This window comes from Homo sapiens, chromosome 2 (genome assembly GCF_000001405.40).
Source record: "Homo sapiens chromosome 2, GRCh38.p14 Primary Assembly".
NCBI lineage: Eukaryota > Metazoa > Chordata > Mammalia > Primates > Hominidae > Homo > Homo sapiens.
The window spans coordinates 57,134,075-57,157,772 of record NC_000002.12 but is presented as its reverse complement, the minus strand read 5'-3'; the positions used below and the strand labels follow the sequence as shown (position 1 = coordinate 57,157,772).

At 37.5% G+C, this 23,698-nt stretch overlaps 1 annotated feature.

The window, feature by feature from the left end:
- Positions 928-1,583: an enhancer, noted in NCBI's record as "OCT4-NANOG-H3K27ac hESC enhancer chr2:57383325-57383980 (GRCh37/hg19 assembly coordinates)". NCBI's record gives its function as "activates a minimal SCP1, AML or CMV promoter by ChIP-STARR-seq in naive H9 embryonic stem cells {active_cell/tissue: H9 hESC(naive)}" and the evidence as "EXISTENCE:reporter gene assay evidence [ECO:0000049][PMID:30033119]".

Sequence of the window (23,698 nt, the reverse complement as noted above, 5' to 3'; positions counted from 1 at the left end):
AGAGAAAAGTCTTCTCTCAGACTGCACCCACCAGGAGTTCTACATTCTCTGCTATCCCATACTCAGGCTTTAGCATTCCATTAAACAATTTATCCAGACTAATCTTACCAGTGTGCAATAGCATCTTCCTCAGGTAAGCAAGTGCCTGAATCTCATTTTTCCAGAAGAAACTTGTTTTTGTTAAATTTTTAGTTATTTGGTTGACCTATAAACTCAAATCTATGGAGTGTTCAAGAAAATTATGAATGTGTAGCTAGTCTAGTTTTTCGTTGTTTTTATTTTAAGAATAGGAGTGAAATGGTTTGGACATTTGTCCCCTCCAAATCTCATGTTAAAATGTGATTCCCAGTGTTGGAGGTGGGACCTGATGGAAGGTAACTGGATCATGGAGGCAGATCCCTCAGGAATGGTTTATCACCATTACTTTGGTGATAAGTGAGTTCTCATTCAATTCGCACAGGATCTGGTTGTTTAAAGGTCTGGGACCTCTCCCCAACCTCCTTTCTCTTGCTCCCGTTCTCACCGTGTGAGGTGCCTGCTTCCTCTTTGCCTTCTCACATGGTTGAAAGCTTCCTCAGGCTGGCTTTCACCAGATGCTGGCACCATGCTTCTTGTATAACCAGCAGAACTGTGAGCCAATTAAACCTTTTTTTCTGTATAAATTAGCCAGCCTCAGATATTTCTTCACACAATGTAAAAACAGCCTAAAACAGAAAATTTGTACCCAAGAGTGGGGCATTGCTACAAAGATAACTAAATATGTAGAAGCAGATTTAGAACTCGGTAATGGACAGAGGTTGGTAGAGTTTGGATGGCTCAGAAGAAGATAGAATGATGAGAGAAAGTCTGGAACTTCACAGAGACTTGTTAAATGTTTGAGATAAAAATGCTGATAGAGATATGGGCAGCAATATCAGACTAAGGAGATCTCAGATGGAAATGAGAAACTTATCAGGAACTTGCATAAAGGTCACCCTTGTTATTCCCTAGCAAAAAACTTGGCTGCACTGCATCCATGTCCTAGGGCTTTAAGAAAGTTTGAAGTGAAGAATGATGACGTAAGGTATCTGGTGAAAGAAATTCCTGTAGCAAAGAGTTCAATAAGTGAGCATAGCTGCTTCTAATAGCCTAAGATCATATGTGGGAGCAAAGGAATGGCTTAAAGTTGAAACTCATATTTAAAAGAGAAGTGGAGTGTCAAAATTTGAAAAATTTGCAGCCTGCCCATGTGATAGAAGAGGAAAAGACACTTTCTGGAGAGAAATACAAGCAAGCTGCCCAGGCAGCCATTTGCTAGAGAGATTAGCATGACTAAAAGGGAGCCAAGTGCTACTATCTAAGACAATGGGGAAAAGGTTTCAAAGGCATTTCAGAAATCTCTCACACAGGGCATCTCATTACAGACTAGAGACCTAGGAGAAAAAAATGGTTTCTTTGACAGACCCATGGCCCGCTGCCCTGGGCAAGCCCAGGACACTGCTCCTAGAATCCTGGCTGCTCTACCTACAGCTCCAGCTTGATTGGACCCAGATACTACTTGGGTCACTGCTTTGGAGAGCATAGGCCACAATAAGCACTGGTGGCTTCCATGTGGTTTTAAGTCTGTGGGTGCATATAATGCAATAGTGAAGGAGGCTTGGCATCTTCCCTTTAGATTTTAAAGCATGTATGAGAAAGCCTGGGTGCTCAGGCAGACACCTGCTACAGGGGCAGAACCCTCACAGAAAACCTCTACTAGGGTAGTGCTGAGGGGAAATGTGGGATTGGAGCCCCCCAGACAAAGTCCACACCAGGGCACTGCCTAGTGGAGCTGTGGGAAGGAGGCCTCCATCATCCAGACCTGAAAATGATAGATCTACTGGGAGCTTTAATCCTGAGCCTGGGAAAGCCACAAGCACTCAACTCCAACCTGTGAGAGCAGCCACAGGGCCTGCACCCTGCAAAGCCACAGGGACAGAACAACCCAAGGACTTGGGAACCCACCCCTTGCTCTAGTATACCTTGGATGCAGGACATGGAGTCAAATGAGATTATTTTGGAGCTTTAAGATTTAATGACTGCTCCACTAAGTTTTAGACTTGAGTGGAGCCTGTAGACCCTTTCGTTTGGTCAATTTCTCCTATTTGGAATGGGAATATATATACAAAGCTTGTATCACCATTGTATCTTGACAGAAAATAACTTGTATTTAATCTCACGGGCTCACAGGTGGAAGGAACACATCTCCAAATGAGACTTTGGACTTGGTACTTGAGACTTGGGACTTTGGAGTTAATGCTGGAACAAATTAAGACTTTTGGGGTTATTGCAAAGGCATGATTGTATTTTGAAATGTGAGAAGGACATGAGATTTGGGGAGGCAGGGATAGAATAATATGGTTTGGATGCTTGTGCCCTCCAAATCTCATGTTAAAATGGGAGTCCCAGTTTTGGAGGTGGGGTGTGGTGGGTGATGATTGGATCATGGATGTGGGTCTCTCACGAATGGTTTAGCACCATCACCTTGGTAATAAGTGAGTTCTCTCTCAGTTCTTGTGAAACCTGGTTGCTTAAATACCTGGAACCTCTCTCCCTTCTTCTGTTGCTATTGCTCTCACCGTGTGACATGCTGGCTTCCTGATAAACTTCACCATGATTATCAGCTCCTTAAGGCCTCACCAGAAGTAGATGCCAGCACCATGCTTCCTGTACAACATGCAGAACTGTGAGCCAATTAAACCTCTTTTCTTTTAAAATGGCCAGTCTCAGATATTTCTCTCTAGCAGCGTAAGAATAGCCTAATACAGAGAGTGGTGCTTTTCTCGCTTTCTATATACTAAGCAGATGTTGGAAGTTCAAATATGATTTTAAATCTTAAAAGAAAAGGATTAGTATTAATTCAGTTACAATGAGATCCTAGAAGGACATTAACAAGTACCTTTATTATTTAATATTATCTTAGACATAAAGCAAATTATATAAAATAATAAATTTAGCACATGAATGCTGTGTTGGACATGTAATAAGTACGTATCAATATTGACACATAAATTGCCTTTGATAAGATCTTTTGCTTTAACATGTAAGAAAATTGTAAACACTTAAAGTACTTAAAGTCTACCTATGGGTCATGATCCACGAAGGCCAAGGAGTACTGTTCTGCAACTGTCAGCTTTCCGTCACATAAGACTTCCATGATGCATTACCTATATCATAGTTATGTTGAGATTAGCATCTAATTCTCTAATTAGGATAACCATGCAAACTTGACAGGTATGTTGTCATAAAACATAGCATAATATTCTCAAAACAAAAAACTGCCTGTTCTGAAGAAGAGTAAAGTAGAACTGGTTTAAAATAGTGAGTTACCTTTAGCAAATAAGAAAACTCTTCAATGAAAAAAATAACATGTTTTATACACATATTGTATATGTGTTTTGTATATTTTTTAATATAATGTACATAAAATTCATGTGGGAAAGATAATTTTTAATAAAAAGATATTTGCGTTTTAAAATCAATAGCAATGTATGAAATACACATTACATGTATACTGATGAGAGGAAGGGCATAAAAGTATATGTGTCTATCTACATGATTTCCATTTTATATTGCCTTTCTTTTAGGTCTTTCAACTTTCTTCTCCATATCTTCAAAATTTGGAGACTGAGAGTTAATAAAATAGTTTTACTTACACAACACATAATGTCCTTCTACATTCTGTTTGAAGACATCACTGACACCCCAGGACCTTCCCTTTCATTGTATGTATTTTGATAACATAAAGTACCTAATACTTGTAATCAAATCAGAATTTTCAAGGCCTATGTTCTTTCTGTTGATCTTCCTGGTATTGTAAATATATCTCAATCAGTTAAAATGAAATATAAAATGAATTAATTTTACTACAGAGTCAGTTACATACTAATACAATTTATAGCAAAAATATACTTAAATTTAGCAGATGTTGAAAAATTAACAAAGCAAATTTATTCAGTTACAAGATAAAATAAATTCAGTAGAATGCTTTTATCACATAGCAAGATCTAATTATGTTCAGAAGACACATGCTATAAATTTTTCAGCAAAATTCATAAAGCAGTCCATGCATGTAATCTCTTACAACATGCATTGTTATAAAGGAGGAGGCTAACATATGGCTCAATTCAACACATCCCTTTTCTATATGAGCAGAAGCCTACCATTGAGCACTCTGGTGGTTTCTGTACATTTAAAATTCAAGACTGTAAAACTACACTGATGTAGTACAACCTTTATGCTTGTTATTAACTCTTACAGTTGCCTAGATTTTTATTGCCTGAGGAAAAGCTGGAAATAAATAAAATGATTAGGTTGGGTACAGAAGTCAAGCCTTGGGGAACATGGGAAGAAAAAAAAAAAACTATGTGGAATTATGTGGAATTAATCATGAAGGGAGAGGAGAAGTCTGCTGTTGAATTTGATTAGTTATTTGGAAATTCCACCAAACACATGGCTCACCACCTAGTATTTATTCCAAACAAGAGAAAAGATTGAGAAGCACCACAGTTATGGAATTATGTAAGTATAACAGTGAACAATCCAACCTCATTTCTAAAGTTGTTATAATAAGTGAATAGTCTGTTGTCTATTTACCTTGTTTAAATTAAACAGAAATGTTTTGTTTTAATTTTATATTCACTGACATTTGCATGCATTTGCCATTTTTGTTGTTTAGCATTGCAGATTTCTTTCTTTTGTATTTTTATTTTTATTTTAAGTTCTGGGGTACATGTGCAAGATGTGCTAGTTTGTTACATAGGCCAAGGTGTGTCATGGTGGTTTGCTGTGCCTATCAACCCATCTCCTAGGTATTAAGCCCAGCATGCATTAACTATTTTTCCTAATGCTCTCCTTGCCTCCCCCCAACCCTACCCCAACAGGCCCCAGTAAGTGTTGTTCTCCTCTCTGTGTCCATGTGTTCTCATTGTTCAGCTCCCACTTATAAGTGAGAATGTGGTGTTTGGTTTTCTGTTCCTGCATTAGTTTGATGAAGATAATGGCTCCCAGCTTCATCCATGCCCCTGCAAAGGACATGATCTCATTCCTTTTCATGGCTGCACAGTATTCTGTGGTGTATATGTACCACATTTTCTTTATTCAGTCTATCACTGATGGGCATTTGGGTTGATTCCATGTCTTTGCTATTGTGAATAGTGTTGCAATGAACATACACGTACATGTATCTTTATAATAGAAAGATTTATATTTCTTTGGGTATATATCCAGTAATGGGATTGCTGGGTTGAATGGTATTTCTGGTTCTAAATCTTTGAGAAATTGCCACAGTGTCTTCCACAATGGTTGAACTAATTTACACTCCCACCAAAAGTGTAGAAGTGTTCTTATTTCTCCACCACTTCACCAGCATCTGTAGTTTCTTGACCTTTTAGTAATTGCTATTCTGACTGGCATGAGATGGTATCTCATTGTGGTTTTAATTTGCATTTCTCTAATGATCAGTGACGTCGAGCTTTTTTTTGTATTTTTTTTTTGGCTGCATGTATGTCTTTTATTGAGATGTTTCTGTTCATATCCTTTGCTCACTTTTTAATGGGGTTGTTTTTTCCTTGTAAATTTGCTTAAGTTCCTTGTGGATTCTGACAAAGCGTATTAGACCTTTGACAGATGAATAGATTGCAAATTATTTCACATTCTGTGGGTTGTCTGTTATGATGATAGTTTCATTTGCTGTGCTGAAGCTCTTAGTTTAATTATATACCATTTTTCAATTATTGCTTTTGTTGCAATTGCTATTGGCGATTTCATCATAAAATCTTTGCCATGCCCATGTCCTGAATGGTATTGCCTAGATTTTCTTCTAGGGCTCTTACAGTTTCGGGTTTTACACTTAAGTTTTTAATTCATCTTGAGTTGATTTTTGTATAAGGTGTAAGGATGGGGTCCAGTTTCAATTTTCTGTATATGGCTAGCCAGTTCTCCCAGCACGACTTATTAAACAGGAAGTCCTTTCCCCATTGCTTGTTTTTGTCAGGTTTGTTGAAGATCAGATGGATGTAGATGTGTGGTGTTATTTCTGAGGCCTCTGTTCTGTTTCATTGGTCTATGTGTCTGTTTTTGTACCAGTACTATGCAGTTTTGGTTACTTTAGTCTTGTAGTATAGTCTGAAGTCAGGTAGTGTGATGCCTCTGGCTTTGTTAATTTTGCTTAGTATTGTCTTTGCTATGTGAGCTCTTTTTGGTTCCATGTGAATTTTAAAATAGTTTTTCCTAATTCTGTGAAGAATGTCAATGGTAGTTTAATGGGAATAGCATTGAATCTACAAATTGTTTTGGGCAGTATGGCCATTTTTACAATATTGATTCTTCCTATCCATGAGCATGGAATGTTTTTCCATCTGCTTGTGTCATCTCTGATTTCCTTGAGCAGTGGTTAGTAGTTTCCCCTTGAAGAGGTCCTTTACTTCCCTTGTTAGCCATATTCCTAGGTAGTTTATTCTCTTAGTGGCAATTTTGAATGGGAGTGTTTTTATGGTTTGGCTCTCTGCTTGTCTGTTGTTGGTGTATAGGAACGCTTCTGATTTCTGCACATTGATTTTGTATTCTGAGACTTTGCTGAAGATGCTTATCAGTTTAAGAAGCTTCTGGACTCAGTTGATGGGTTTTTCTAGATATATGATCATGTCATTTGCAAATAAAGACAATTTGACTTTCTCTCTTCCTATTTGAGTACCCTTTATTTCTTTCTCCTGGCTAATTGCTCTGGCCAGAACTTCCAACACTATGTTGAATAAGAGTGTTAAGAGAGGACATCCTTGTCTTATGCCAGTTTTCAAGGGGAATGGTTTCAGCTTTTGCCCATTCAGTATAATATTGGCTGTGGGTTTATTATAAATGGCTTTTATTATTATGTGGTATGTTCTTTCAACACCTAGTTTATTGAGAGTTTTTAATATGAAGGGCTGTTGAATTTTATCAAAGGACTTTTCTGCGTCTATTGAGATAATCATGAGGTTTTTGTCTTTAGTTCTGTTTATGTGATTAATTACCTTTATTGATTTGTGTATTTTGAACTGGCCTTGAATTCCAGGGATGAAGCTGACTTGATCGTGGTGGATAAGCTTCTTGATGTGCTGCTGGATTCTGTTTGCCAGTATTTTACTGAGGATTTTTGAATCCATGTTCATCAGGGTATTTGATAGAAGTTTTCTTTTTTGGTGTATCTCTCCCAGGTTTTGGTATCACGATAATTCTGACCTCATACAATGAGTTAGGGAGAAGTCCCTCCTTTTCAATTGTTTGGAATGGTTTCAGAAGAAATGGTACCGGCTCCTCTTTGTATTTCTGGTAGAATTCAGCTGTAAACCCAACTGGGACTGGGTTTTTTTTTTTTCTTCTTGTTGGTAGGCTATTTATTAATTACCGCCTCAGTTTCAGAACTTGTCTGTCTACTCAAGGATTCAACTTCTTCCTGGTTCAGTCTTGGGAGGGTGTGTGTCTCCAGGAATTTATCAATTTCTTCTATGCAAATAAGTTAGAAAATCTAGAAGTGTTTATAGTATTCTCTGATGATTTTATTTCTGTGGGGTCAGTGGTGGTATCCCCCTTATTATTTCTGATTGTGTTTATTTGAATCTTTTCTTCTTTATCAGTCTCACTAGCAATCCATTTTATTATCATTATTTTTTAAATAAGCTCCTGGATTCACTGATTTTTTGAAGTTTTTTGTGTGTGTCTCTATCTACTTCAGTTTGCTCTAAGCTTGGTTATTTCTCTTTTTTTTTTTTTTTTTTTTTTTTTTTTGAGACAGAGTCCCGCTCTTTAGCCCAGGCCGGATTGCAATGGCACACAATCTCGGCTCACTGCAAGCTCCACCTCCCAGGTTCACGCCATTCTCCTGCCTCAGCCTCCCGAGTAGCTGGGGCTACAGGCGCCCACCACCGCGCCCGGCTAATTTTTTGTATTTTTAGTAGAGACGGGGTTTCACCGTGTTAGCCAAGATGGTCTCGATCTCCTGACCTTGTGATCCGCCCGCCTCGGCCCCAAAGTGCTGGGATTACAGGCGTGAGCCACCGCGCCCAGCCAAAGCTTGGTTATTTCTTGTCTTCTGCTAGCTCTGGGGTTTTTTTGCCCTTGGTTCTCTAGTTGTTTTAGTTGTGATGTTACAGTGTCAATTTGAGATTTTTCTAGTTTTTTGATGTGGGCATTTAGTGCTATAAATTTTCCTCTTAACACTGCTTTAGCTGTATCCCAGAAATTCTGGTATGTTGTCTCTTTGTTCTCATTGGTTTCAAAGAACTTCCTGATTTCTGCCTTAAATTCATTATTTAGCCAGGAGTCATTAAGAAGCAGGTTGTTCAGTTTCCATATAGTTGTGTTGTTTTGAGTGGGTTTCCTATTCTTCAGTTCTAATTTGATTGTGCTGTGGTCTGAGAAACTATTATGATTTCAGTTCTCTGTATTTGCTGAGGAGTGTTTTACTTCCAGTTATGTGATCAATTTTAGAGTAAGTGCCATGTGGCATAGAAAAAATCATACATTCCATTGTTCTGAGGTGGAGAGTTCTGTAGATACCTATAAGGTCCACTCGGTCTAGAGCTGAGTTCAAGTCCTGAATGTCTGTTAATTTTCTGTCTCAATGATCTGTCTAATACTGACAGTGAGGTATTAAATCTCCCACTATTATTGTGTGTGTTGGGGGGGTCTAAGTATCTTAGTAGGTCTTTAAGAACTTGTTTTATGAATGTGGGTGCTCCTGTATTGGGTGCATATATATTCAGGATAGTTAGCTATTCTTGTTAAATTGAACCCTTTGACATTACATAATGCCCTTCTTTATCTTTTTTTGATGTTTGTTGGCTTAAAGTCTATTTTCTGAGAAACTAGGATTGTAACCTCTGCTTTTTTGTGTTTTCCATTTGCTTGGTAAATTTTCCTCCATCCCTTTATTTTAAGTCTATGTGCATCTTTGCACATGAGATTTGTCTCTTGAATACAGCACACCAATAGGTCTTATGTTTTTATCCAGCTTGCCATTCTGTGTCTTTTAACTGGGGCATTTAGTCCATTTACATTTAAGGTTAATATTGTTGTGCGAATTTGATCCTGTCATCATGATGCTGGCTGGTTAATTTTGCAAACTTATTAATGTAGTTGCTTCATAGTGTCATTGGTCTGTGTACTTCAATGTGTTTTTGTAGTGGCTGGTAATGGATTTTCCTATCCATGTTTAGTGCTTTCTTTAGGAGCTCTTGCAGGGTAGGCCTGGTAGTGACAAAATCACTCAGCATTTCTTTGTCTGAAAAATATTTTATTTCTCCTTCTATTATAAAGCTTAGTTTGGCAGGATATAAAATTCTGTGTTAGAATTTATTTTCTTTAAAAATGTTGACTATTGGTCCCCAATCTCTTCTGTCTTGGAGGGTTTCCACTGAGAGGTCTGCTGTTAGTCTGATGGACTTTCCTATGTAGGTGACCTGGCCTTTCTCTCTGGATGCCCTTAACAGTTTTTCCTTTATGTCAACCTTGGAGAATCTGACAATTATGTGTCTTAGGGTAGATCTTTTCATGGAGTATCTTATTGGAGTTCTCTAGATTTCCTGAATTTGAATATTGGCCTGTCTTGCTAGGTTGGGAAAATTCTCCTGAGTGATATCCTGAAGTGTGTTTTCGAACTTGGTTCAATTCTCCCCATCTTTTTCAGGTACTCCAATTAGTTGTAGGTTTGATGTTTTTACATAGTCCCATAGTTCTTTGAGGTTTGTTCACTCCTTTTTATTCTTTTCTCCCTAATCTTGTCTGCCTACCTTATTTCAGCCAGCTATTCTTCAAGCTCTGATATTCTCTCTTCTGCTTGATTGATTTGACTATTGATACTTGTGTTAACATCTTGAAGTTCTCGTGCTGTGATTTTCAGTTCCATCAGGTCATTTTTGTTCCTCTCTAAACTGGTTATTCTAGTTAACAGCTCCTGTAATCTTTTATCATGGTTTTTAGCTTCTTCGCATTGAGTTAGAACATAATCCTTTAGCTCAGAGAAATTCATTATTACCCACTTTCTGAAGCCTACTTCTGTCAGTTCATCCATCTCAGCTTCAGCCTGATTCTGTGCCCTTGCTGGAGAAGTGTTGCAATCATTTGGAGAAGAGACATTTTGGCTTTTGCAATTTTCCGTGTCTTTGCTCATCTTCGTGGATTTATCTACCTTGGATCTTCGAGGCTGATGACCTTTCAGTGGGGTTTTTGTGGGGTCTTTGTTGTTGTTGTTATTTTCTGTTTGTTTGTTTGTTTGTTTTTGTTCTAACAGGCTGCTGCAGTTTGCTGGGGGCACTTCAGACCCTGTTTGCCTGGGAATCACCAGTGGAGGCTGCAGAACAGCAAAGATTGCTGCCTGCTCCTCCCTTCAGAAGCTTCATCCCAGAGGGGCACTGACCTGGTGCCAGCTGGAACTGTCCTATATGAGGTGTCTGGTGACCCCTGTTGGGAGGTCTCACCCAGTCAAGTCAGGAGGCATGGGATCCAAGACCTGCTTAAGGAGGCAGTCTGACTTTCCCTCAGTGGAGCTAGTGCACTGTGCTGGGGGAATTCCCCTCATCTGGATCAGCCAGTCTCTTCAGAGCCAGTAGACAGGAAAGATTAAGTCTGCTGAACTTGAGAACGCAATGCACCCTCCCCTGCAGTGCTCTGTCCCAGGGAGATGAGATTTCTGTCTGTAAGCCCCTGACTAGAGCTGCTGGAATTCCTGCAGGGATGGCCTGCCCAGTGAGGAAGGATGGCTCTGGGTCCAACCTAAAAAGGCAGCCTGCCACAGCCTCTTTGCTGCACTGTGGGAGAATTCCACCCACTGCAAACCTCTCAGTCTCCTTTGCACTGTCAGGGGAAAACCACCAACTACAGCTGCAGTAATGGCAGTCGCACCTCCCCTGGAAACTCAGTCCTCCCATGCAGACTCCAGACTGCTGTGCTGGTAGTAGGGGTCTTAAGCCAGTGGGTCTTAGCTTTCAGGGCTCCATGGGAGTGGGACCAACTGATCAAGACTGCTTGGCTCCCTGGCTTTAGCCTTTCCACTCCTGTGAGGTTCTCCTGCCTCACTGGAGTTCCAGGTACCACTGGAGTATGTATAAACTCCTGCAGCTCAGTGCCAGCCTGAACAGCCACTGGCGGGAGTGGCTGTCGTTGGTTAGTTGGTTATCCCAGTTTTGTGCTTGAGACCCAGGGCCCTAGTGGTATAGACTCACAATGCAATCTCCTGATCCGCAGATTGCACAAATCCATGGGAGAAGCGCGGTATCTCTGGCAGGTAGCACAGACCCTCACTGTTTCCCTTGGCTGGGGGAGGGAGGTCCCCCCACCTCATGCAGCTCCTGGGTAAAGTGACACCCCACCCTGCTTCTGCTCACCCTCCATGGGTCACGCCACCTGCCTAATCAGTCCCAATGAGATGAACTTGGTACCTTAGTTGGAGATACAGAAATCACCCACCTTCTGTGTTCATCTCGCTGGGAGCTGCAGATGGGAGCTGTTTCTATTTGTCTGTCTTGGCCCCTTTCTCGCATTGCAGATTTCTTTAAGCTCTCCCTGTCCCCCACCTCCATCCATGAACACAAACGAACCACCACTCAAGGTTCTGAGCAATTCACCTCTTCCCTTAAGTCATCTTGGCCATTTCAGCTAGAAATGTTCTCTTTCAAACATACTTTCATTTTTCTAGAGGCCATCCATGTGCCATGAAATTAGTGGACTAATATGCCTAAAACCAAACTTCACTGTGCAACCCTAATATTGACTATCTCTAAGGGATTGTATGGCTGTAGTGGAAGTTGTGGTGAAGTTTTGCTGAGGACACTGACATCAGGTGGGCCAATCTCAGTCCCCAGTGGTAGCAGGAATGCTAGTGTGTATGTCCTTGGGCCCCAGAGTAGCAGGCTCTGGCACTTGGTACAGGTGACTTGTTCAGGTGCTATCAGTGACAGTGGTGGTCCATGCAGGTGGGCAGGTCTTCGGGGCCCTGGGCAGAGGACATGGCATCTGTGATAGCAGCAGCTGTGGCAGGACGATCCTTTGACTCCCAAGTGATCTGCACTGGTGTTGGCAATGGCTGCAACTGCTGTGTGGGTAAGTCCCCAGGCCTGCTGGTGGCATGTGCAGTTTAGTGCTAACGCTGGTGTAGTGGCAGGAAGAGTGGACTTGTTTTCAGGCCCCCAGGAGGAGTGCTCAGTGGCCAATGGTGGTGGATGGAATGGAGTGATTCCCAAGCCTTCAAATGACATTCTTGAATGCTGGAAATTCAAGCCAGGAAGGGAGGAGTAGGTCTCAGGTGCCCCAGCGGTGCATGTGGGTGCTGGCTGTGGTAAACAGGGTGGGGTGATCTCCAGGTACCAGTGAAGTCTCATGTGGGGAAGACATCAGTGGTGAGGAGGGGTTGCTGCCCTTATGGCATATGTGAGGGCACTGTGTCCCTGCTGCCAGGGAGAGGAGGGTTGTTTAATGGCAGCACTTGTAGCCAGGTGGCTGAGGAGTGTGTCTTTTGGCCCCAGGTGACAGCTGCAGGCATGGTAGCTTATTCTCAAGGTACATATAAATGCATATTGACCTCGATGAGGGTGACGGGGGTGCTGCCAGTGACTTGTGCTTAGGCTTCCAGAGGCAGCAGCCAGCAATGGCAGTGGCTGGGGACAGCGGATTTCAGTGGGGCTCCAGGGATGTGAAAATGTATGTTATTAGGCCCCAGGGTGGGATGCAATCTGGTGGTGTCTTGGCTCCCAAAATGGTGCTGTGCCACAGCTGCTTAGGTTTTGGCAGTGTATGGGCCTCACCATGAGCTCTCTCTGGAGTAATGCCTTTCTGTAGTCTCTAGGTAGCTTTCTATGTTGGTTTCAGGACCTGCGACTGTCAAGGGGCTCTCCTGTGGCTAGAATCACAGGAGTCTACTTGGGGATGTGGACTGCTGGGGATGTCTGAGTTGCTCTTCCCCCACATTGCAGACCCTACCCAGTGCTCCTGGCCAAGCCTGGCCTACCTGACTTTTCTCTCTTTCCTTGCTTCCTGTTACTTCTCTGTTGAATTCTGGTGTTCTTTCTTAGGCACTATATTTCAAGTGTGATCATCTCCCTATTTTGGTTCTTTGTGAACAAGGCAAATGCTAGATACCTCTAGTCAGCTACCTTGAAGTCCCTCACTTATTGGAATTTCAGAATGACTGAAGGAACTTTTTAAATTTTGGCTTAATAGATTCTGAGGTAGAGCTGTTTCCTTAGATAATCCATGATATAAAAATATTTAATATTTTCTTTCAGGGGTCATTATATTTCCCAGGTAAGCATAAGGGGATCAGGACTGCTTGCCAATAATCTATGAGATGATAAGAGACAAAAGGGAGTTTGGAATCTCAGTACAGTTTGGAATTAGTCAGCACCTCTGTTTTCAGGATAATATCCTTCTTAATTTGTCTAGTATATCCAGATGAGAGTCTTTCAATTTTAACCTGTCCAGTATTAAATCTTCAGTCTTCTATGAGTATGGAGAAGAAGAGTGCTGCTCCAACTGCACTAAGTAAGGTGGAGAGGTCTTGTAGTCTATCCTGTACTCTGACCATTTATTAAAATGGCTGAGTGTCTTCATTTACACTTACAGATTTAATGGCGGCATGAGTTCATGGTCCTTTTGTGAGTACTGAAGCAAAACTCAAGTTAGTTCTTGGCTTTCCCCATGGGAGCTTAGGATTTGTCTTCCATGGATTCAATGAGTAAGTAAGTTACCACTCTTCCATATGTTCTCTACCCTCTAAAATGTTGCTTACTCCTCTTTTATTCTTTTTGTATTTGTGGATTTGTCTTTTCAAAAACCCCTTTACTATTATTTCCCATGTTTGGGTGGGTGACAAACTTAATACAGATGGTCCATAACTTATGTTGGTTTAACTTCGATTTTTTTACTTTAAACTGGTACAAAAGTGATAGACATTCAGTAGAAACTATGCCTCAGTATAGTATTCAATAAATTAGATAGGATTTTTGACACTTTATTATAATATAAGATAGGCTAGATGTGTTAGATGATTGAGCCCAACTGCAGGCTCTCTAACTGCTCTGAGCATGTTTAAGGTAGGCTAGGCTAAACTACAACTTTCAGCAGGTTAGTTGTATTGGATGCATTTTTGACTTACAATATTTTCAACTAACAATGGGTTTATTGGGACCAGGACCCCATCATAAGTCAAGGGGCATCTGTTTGTATATTTAATCAAAAATCTTTTTGCCTGTTAATGTTTAAAGATGAAAAATATGTTTATTAGCAGCATTAGACAATTTGACAGTATTACATATACAGTATTATATATATACACACATGTTTATAACTTGTTATCTATATTTTTAAAGATAGAGATATAAATGTAAATAATTGGGGTTAAATTCTTAAACTTTTACAAATAAGTGTCATGAAAAAGATTTTGAACACTACTGGCCCACAAAATGAGGAGAACATTCTTAAGTTTGTCATAAATACTCCAGCAAGCTGTCCTGGACACATTTTTAGGACTCCTCTTAAGCAGCTCCCCATGCTCTTCTGTCTCTATGCCTCATCAAAAAGCTACTAGATATTCCCTGAATACGCCAAGTGAGGAGTGGATGGTAAACAATTTCCTCTCCTTTGTTTTCTCTACAGAACCCACACAGCGCTTCTTCTAGATTATTTAAGATAATTTCTAAATCACCCTTATATTCTTGAGATGCCAACTCTGATTCATCTGCTAAATATTTATTGACCCTCTGTCTTTTATACATATTAATACAATGTGAAATGCAATAATGCACAGTGTCAGACTGGATAATTGCGGTAACAACTGCATGTTAGTCCAATCATATAATTTTATGTTAACTTGAGGTTATGCTCCCTTTGTGTGTGTAATTAAATTGTTATGACTGGCTCAATTTTCAGAATTAGTGTTTCAGAATTAGAGAAGTGTAGGAGCTGAAGAAATCCTGAGAAATGACACCTAAAACAAACAGCTAATTCTTTGGTAAGCAAACAAGGTTACTGACTAACTTCCATGTTAAAGAAACACTTTATTTTCTCCCCATTTCTGTTATTTCCCAGGAGGGATTGCCCCTTAACACATTCATGGCCTTCCTGAACTTTTCCTCAGTCTGTCTCTAAGGGGATGCAGTGATTGACCTGATAGCTGCATTAGAGAAGAACAGCTCTAAAAATATATCAAAATCCACCTAATTTCTCCTGGAGGAGGCACAAGTTGAGTTATGCCTGCAGAGGTGGCTCTTCATGGGGTGGCTGCCCACATTTAGTTCCCAATTCCATGCCCTTTGGTTAACATGCCCTATCTCAGGCTCTACCCAAAAGAAAAATGATGTTTTGGTCTGTAATTGGGATTACTCTTTGTTTTATTATTTTTATTTTTGCTTATGCAGCTTATTGAAAAATCAATGATTTCAACCTTTCCAATCAATTTGTTTCAGATTTCCATTTAGAGATCATGAAAATAATAAAATAATGTTTCCAAAATATTCTTCTGCTTTCAATTTGAAGTTCAAGAAGCATAAAATTTAATAAAATTATTTTAACACTTTTTTATTCAAAACATTTTAGTCTAAATTTCTGGAATTTGGCCAAAAGATGTATGCATTTTTTAAATGGTATCTTCTGTTATTCTTTTCTTCTTCCTGATCATTTTTATAAGTGTTGCTTAAATATTTCTAACTTAAAATGTCATCTACTGTACAGATTCTGGGTATCCATACCAATTTTTAGAATCAGAATTTCTGGCAGACAGACCTTAGAATTACTATATTAATACATATGCCAAGCGATTCTTACCTTTTAACTACTATGGACAACCCTGATCTACACAATTGTCTTGCTACTGATGGTAGAGTAGACATAAGGCTGGCAAAAGTCAACAGTTATTGAAATATAGATTTAACATACTGGAACAACAAACAGGTAGATTAGTAATGTAAGATTCATGGATCTTTCCAGCATTGCCCGACCAGAAATAAGCTGGATGTGGTGGCGCACATCTGTAGTTTCAGCTACTTGAAAGGCTGGAGGATTTGTTGAGCCCAGGAGTTTGAGAACAGCCTGAGCAAGAGTCAGACCATGTCTCTAAAATAAATTAATTAACTCAATTAAATAATCACTGTGCTGCAGCTTGAAAAAATTCAGGCAGGAAAACAGATGAATTACTGTAGAAGTTTATGTCAATCAATAAATTGTACTACCCTGTATTCCCAGAGTTTGACTTTTTCTGGCATCTCATCATGGGAGTTTATAGATAGCTGACTTCTCTGTTTCTGCTAACCACAGTCAACTGCCATGGAAACATACTTTCAGTATCTAAAAACAGAGCATGGTGATTTAAACTAAACTAATCACAGAATGAGTTTATATGCATGTTTTCCATACACAATAACAGAAAAGAATAGAAAGTCCCACTCAAAAATATATATGAATTTCTCTTCAAGCTTTCAAGATTTCTGAAGTAAAATAAAATATGCCTAACATTTTCAAAACTATTATAGCATTTATGAAACACACATACATACACACACTTCAGACAGTCCATGAAATAAGCCCTATTTAATTTTAAATAGAGTTCTCAACAGTTAAAATAAACCAAATAACTATTTTTCTGGCTAAACTGCAAGGTACTTTAAAAGCCATATATCTAGAATACTAGCAAATTGGAAGTAACAATTTTATTGTAACTTAATCATAGAAAAATCATTTTTTCTGTATTCTATTTCTTCAAAGCAGGTGACTATGTCCAGTCCACACTCAAAAGGAGGTGATTGTAGAATCATGTAAATAATAGGAGACAGGGATAATTGAAACTGCCTATCACTTACCCAGCATCTATTCACTTATAACCGTAGGGATTTCTTGACTTGTCATATATATCATTATGTAACCAAACCCAGGTTTGGCAGCTCACTGCTCAAAAGCCAGACTTGAGACACAAGGGTTGGTAGGGAGGAAAACGGGTATATTTGGAGAATCAGCAAACCAAGAAGATAGTGGACTAGATAGTGGACTATTGTCCTAGAATATCACCTTAAGTCAGTACAAAATTTAGACCCTTTTTATGTTAAGGCCAGGGAAGAGAAAGAGATTGAGATCAAGAGGTAACTAACAACCACAGACATCTGGGCACCAGCGAGTGTCCAAGAAGGTTGGAAACTTCCTTCCTTGTCCTTTGTCAGGTCACAGTGCTCCTCTAAGTCTTTAACAAAACATACTTGTTTACATACTTTTCCTTTAATTTCAGAATTAGTTTTTTAAACTACATGACTGCTGCTTTTATATATTATTTTAGTGTTCTAAAATTATCCTGGCCTATGTGTAAGAATGGGAAAAGGTTATTTAAACAAAAATGGAGTTAGTTATGTTAGTTCTATTGCTGTTTTATTGTTATAATCAAAAAGCCCTCATTCTGACTTTTTTTCTTACTTTTATTCTCATTTTCCTAGCTGACTTGTTTATAATATATTGCGACTGCTATATTTTATTTTATTCAAGCCATTTAATTAAATTTTCTGTCTCCCTGGGTACAGAGGAGGGACTTAGATAAGACTCTTATTTGCATTGCTCGCTCATTTTGTGCTGTGTTCCACAGACCATAAAACCAATTTATCCATCATGTTTAGAAAATGTGTACACAAGTTGATTGGAATGCCCTCTTATATATTTAAAACATATTTATTATTTTTTATGAATTACTGATTTTTAAGAAGTTTTAGTCTTATAGTGAGTCCAAATCCTCCAATCCAATGTTAAAACTTTCTCAGTGTTGACAGAAAAAGTGTCTAATTTTTAAGCCAACGCCTTTTCCTATGCCATGTACTTGACATGTTACTTAATAATATTCATCATTGTGTAGTTTTTTTACTCCTTATGCAAACAACATAGTGAAGTTTCCCTTTAATAATAATGCAAACCAACATAATACACCTTCAATAAAATATCCGGAAGTATTTGGCAACAATACACCAAAAAAGTGCCACTTAAAATTCTTATATTTGTGGTGAGCATTTTACAATAGAAATATCAGTTTTGAAACATGTTCCATTCAATATTGTTTTCATAAATATCCTATTGTATTACATTTATAAACTATATAAAGACCATACCAATTTTTTTTTTGGTCTTAGAATAGTATATGCTACAATTCAATACTTTTTTGATATTCCATTTTAATATAAGGCCCAGAATAACAATTCACTACAATTTCTTATTGCTACAACCAATTAACAAAATGTTTTCTTGATGAACTTAAAGTGAATATACTTGAATACATAAACTTGAATACATAAATATGAAGAACTACCTGTTTTAGCCATATGTTGTTTGCCAGAGTGACTATATTTACTTATTAGCTAAGAGATTTGAGTCAGTTGCAGCTTTGGAATTTAGAATGTCAACAAATAGAGGGTCATTGCTGATGAGAAGAGAATACAAAATGTGAGCATGAGAGAGGAGAAAAAGAATATTCAGAGAGGAACTGAGATTCAATTGTACAGAACGTTTAATTATAACACAGCATATGTGCTCCTAAATATCACTGCATTATGCAAATATGTGCAATAAAAAGTATGGAACTCATGAATAAAATAGATTAGGAACAAAACACTCAAAATGTCATCAATGACATATTAAATAATATTGATAGGAACTACATTCAAAGGAGTAACATAGTTTTACATGTGCTAAATGGTTAAGAAACACATCAACAGTTCAAAAATATGGCACTTGATCTTGAAAAGACCTGATACTTGCTTGTGGAAGTAGTTCTCAGAATGGTAGTGAATTATTGTGAGGCAATGGAAGAAGGGCTATCCAAAATATGATGGAAAGTTTTAACACCAGATGTGGATGGGTAAACTCATGGTCCTCTGGTCAAATATGACAGTTAAGCAATCTTTCAAAGCCTTAAATCCTAGGATATATTTTTCTGCTTTTGAGATATAGTTTTGGAGGTATATGCTTATATATGATACTTGTCCATTGAAACTGAAAAACAAAAATTCCAATATATAGTCTTCCTGTAATCAATTTCTGCATCATCACTGGTAATTCTTGTGCAACTTTCTCATCTGTTCTCACAGTTTTGCTCAGTAGCTGAAGGGTTTGGAAATTGAACTCGTATTTGAAACTACTACTCTTAGACCCTAATAGCACTAAAAAGAGGCATTCTAGGAGAATTTGGTGCTTACCATTTAAAATCCTCATATATAATTAGTGCTTTCTCTTTGGTTGTAAAGAGCTTGTTTCTGATTCTTTGGTTGTTTGAGTTTCAAGCCATATGGTTGATAATCTTTCCATTTCTTTAGGCTTTCTTCTTATTGACTTTGCAGCACTTGGTATTGTTATAGCTATTGACGTTTCTTTGCTTTTCATTGTTTTGTCTTTCATAGTCTGCCATATGTGTTACTTTATGTCCACTGCTTGGAGACATCACATGTTCTCTCAGGTTTTGGTTTTTCTATCTTTTTTAAAAAATTTTATTATTTCAAGCTTCACTTCAACACTTTAAACTTCTCTTTGCACCAACTTCATGGTATTTTTGAACCAGGACTCTTGCACATGTTTTGAATAATAAATGAGTGCTTTTACTTTTGTTTCTGTTTTTTGGCTTTTTTTGAGACAGAGTCTCACTCTGTCGCCCAGGCTAGAGTGCAGTGGTGCAATCTTGGCTCACTGCAACCTCCGCCTCATGGGTTCAAACAATTCTCCTGCCTCAGCCTCCCAAGTAGCTGTGATTATAGGTGCGCACCACCACGCCTGGCTAATTTTTGTATTTTTGTAGACATGGTGTTTCACCATGGTGGCCAGGCTGCTCTCGAACTCCTGACCTCAGGTGATCCACCCGCCTCGGCCTCCCAAAGTGCTGGGATTACAGGCATGAACCACTGTGCCTGGCAGTATTTTTGTGTTAATATAAAAAAAGAAAACTTCACAAATGTGAAGAATAGCAGAACATATTTTTAGGATTGTGAATGCATTGGATTAAGAGAACTGGTATATGTTTGAAGTGTGTGCTACTGTGTATTTTGTTGATTGTTATACAGGCTGATTTAGCTGAGTGCAATATTCTGCTTTCTCCTAATTTTACTTCAAGAAATGAATCATGCTTAAACAAATGTGAAATATTTATTATGCTCGAATTGATCCCTAATGCATCAATACATTGGAGCAAATTTACCTTTCCAAAACAAGCATAATAAAGTGTAAGTACAAATATATTTCAGTAAACAAATAAATAACTTTAAAATATACCAGAATTTAGGAGAGTTTTGATACTCTTCTTATTTGAGGAAGCCTGCAATTTATTTTTTTTATATTACTTCCTGGTATAGTACTTTGTCTAACATATGTTTGGCATAAATTCTGAAATCTTTTTATTTCTACCCTTTCCTTCTTTAAGACAAGGTATATAAGCAGCAAAATGGTAGTGTTTGTTACTGTTTTTTGATGGTTTATACTAAGAAAGGGGCTTTGCAGCACTGCTAGAGCTAAATCTGTCACCCTTTCAAACGTTACCATTATAACTGAGAACAATTTCCAAACATGCAATTCCGGATTAAACAAACAACATTGTTATTCCTCAACAGACAGAGTATTATATAATGAATTCTCAGTATGTAATGATGCAAACATTCAAGACCCATATGGTATATTATATTTTGTAGAAATGGTTTTCCATATTTTTACTCTTATTGACTGTAATTTAAGATTCTTCAAATGGAGACTCTTATTTTAACCATCTTTCCACTAAAGATTATAGAATTAGGTGGTGAAACCCCGTCTCTACTAAAAATACAAAAATTAGCCAGGCACCAAGACAGGTGACTGTAATCCCAGCTACTCAGGAGGCTGAGGCTGAGGCTGAGGCAGAGGTTGCAGTCAGCCGAGATCATGCCATTGCACTCCAGCCTGGGCAACAGAGTGAGACTCTGTCTCAAAAACAAACAAACAAACAAACAAACAAAAATTGTAGATTAGGGATATCCTAGTCTGATAGAGGCCAAGAAAATCAAAGAGATGACAGGGTAAGATGCCCTGGTCTGAGACCAAGAAAATCAAATAGGTGCCTGGTCTGAGACCAAGAAAATCAAATAGGTGACAAGATAAACTGATTCAGAAATTAGCAGTTTAGAAATTAGCACTGTTTTTTCTTCTGTTGTGTCATCATCAAAATTATAAAAGTATTTTTTTCTTCAGCACTTTCCAGGAAATATCAATATTTCTTCCTAACAGAAATTCATACAATGTATTATTTCATATCCTGCTAAGACTCAGCAGTGATGCAACTGACAATCCAATGGCTTTACAAATAATTAAATTACAGATTTAACTGGCATTTCCCTAACTAAAATATAAATTGAAGATCTTCTCATTTATATATCTTTTTTCCCCATGTCTTTTTATATAATTTGCCCATTTTATTGTGATACATTGTTACCAAATCAGTAAATTTTTATTGATGTATAAGGTTTCACATAAGTTGTAAATATTTCATCTGTCTCTCAATTTTCTGTTTATTTTTTGCAGCATCTGTCATACACACTTTGCAGTTTGATAATACAATATGTCTGTCTATCATTTACTTCATAGACTTTGGGTTTTCCAGTTTACTAAAGAAGTTATATTCTAATTTTTTATTATTAATTTTAGGGTTCCAACTTTCTATTCTATGAGATAAGCAGCCAACCAATGGTTCCAAAATCTCTAAATAAAACAGTATTTTACAAGTTGAAATGCCATACGAGTTCTCATAGAAAAATTGTGGATTGTCTATTTTGTTCTCCTGGCATTTGCTAGTTTCTGAGCCAAGCTTTTGATTATATCAGTCCTATTTTAAGTTTTTAATATCTTCCAAGACCAGGTGTCCATTATTCTTAAATTTTATCTTTTTTAATTTACATTCTTTTCACATACACATTTTCAAATTATATTACATTGTTAAACATATATATTTGGATTTTAACTGGAAATGCATTAATTTATGTATTAATTTAGAGATTAATAATATTATGATGACTTTTGAACCTACCTTTGTAGGAATATATTATATTACTCTAAGTTATTATTTACTGTAATAAGGTTGTATATATTTTAACATTTATGTCTTTTGGATTTTCTTGTTTATCTTTTATACTTAGTGCTTTTATTGTTATTGTAACCAAAAAAAAAAGCTTTCCATCTTTATGACTAACTGGTTTTTTTAGTAGAGGTAGAAAGAGAGAGAAAGAAAGACATAGAGACAGAGAAGGAAACCATGTTTCTAGTTTTTGAATATCTTGTTTCTACCAGACATTAATTTTTCTATCGTCTGCTAACTTTTATAGAATTGCATAATTATATAATAACAATTTCTGTTGAGAGGTAACTGTTTACTTTTATTTTTATAATGTAGCAATTTAATGCTTTTATAATAATTTTATTATATTTACATATTATGTTAGAACCTCAAAATATTAGTTAATTATGCTAGTAAGTATTCTTGTCATGTTTCTAATTTAATTGGTTTGACAGTTTGTTTATGATGCTATTTGTTGTTGGTTTGGGTTGTATATAATACTTTCGTATGGGAAGAGAAATGAATGAGGAAATCTTTCCTTTATGTTAGCAGAAAGTTCAGGAATGGTTAGAACAAATACACTTGTAAATTTCTATTGCTCACTTTGAATTTGTAAAGTTGAATAACCTGAAGAGTTTGATGTAAATGAATGAATATATACAGAGTTACAAATATAGTTGGAAATGCAGGAAACAGGAGGAAAAACAAGATTAATGAATATGTAAAGTAGGTGTTTCCACTAATATTGAATGTTGTATGAGGAAGATGATAGTTTTATTTTGTTAAAATAATGAGTACTCAAACAGAAGGAGTGAAGTAATAAACTTTTAGAAACAACAACAGAGACTCCCAGTTGCAACTCCAGTATGTGAAGAGCTTGGAAGTTATTGCTTTCATCCTTAAAACAAGAAAAAAGTAACTTACAAAAGTGAGAATCCACGACCTTTCTGAAACCCATCAAAGAAATAAGGTTTTAGAACAAATTGACCACCATGATATCTGACAAGAGAGGTTAATTGAAAGAATCAGAGCCGAGATTTTCTTGCCTAGAGCAGAAATCACTTTAATCATAAAGCGGTATAAATATTTAAGTGGTAGTTTAATTGAATTTCTGGGGACTGAGAGTGGACTAGGCCAATAAAACTTTCCAAATTCAAGTGAAAAGAGAAAAACAGAGAGAGACTAGAACATCAAATAATTTGGGGAAAATTTCAAAGTGCATAACATACACATGATTAAAATACTAGGGAAAGAGATAACAAAGCACAAGAAATATTTGAAGTAATAATGGCCAAGGGCTTTCCAAAATCAATCATATACAAAAAAAGATGTAAGAAGTTCAGAAAACACCAAGCAAGTGTTTTTTAAAAAAAAATAACTAGCCATATCATATGTATCATATTATTTAAACAGCCAAAACCAAAAACAATGAGAACATCTCATATAATGCCAGAGAAGAAAAAAAAAAAAAAATCTTTCTTACCTACTGTTGTGAGTTAGTTAAATGTGTCTCCAACGAAAAAGTATATTCAAGCCTTAACTCCTGGTACCCATTAATGTGACCTTATTTGGAACTAGGATCTTTGCAGAGATAATCAATCAGGTTAAGATGAGGTCATAATGGAT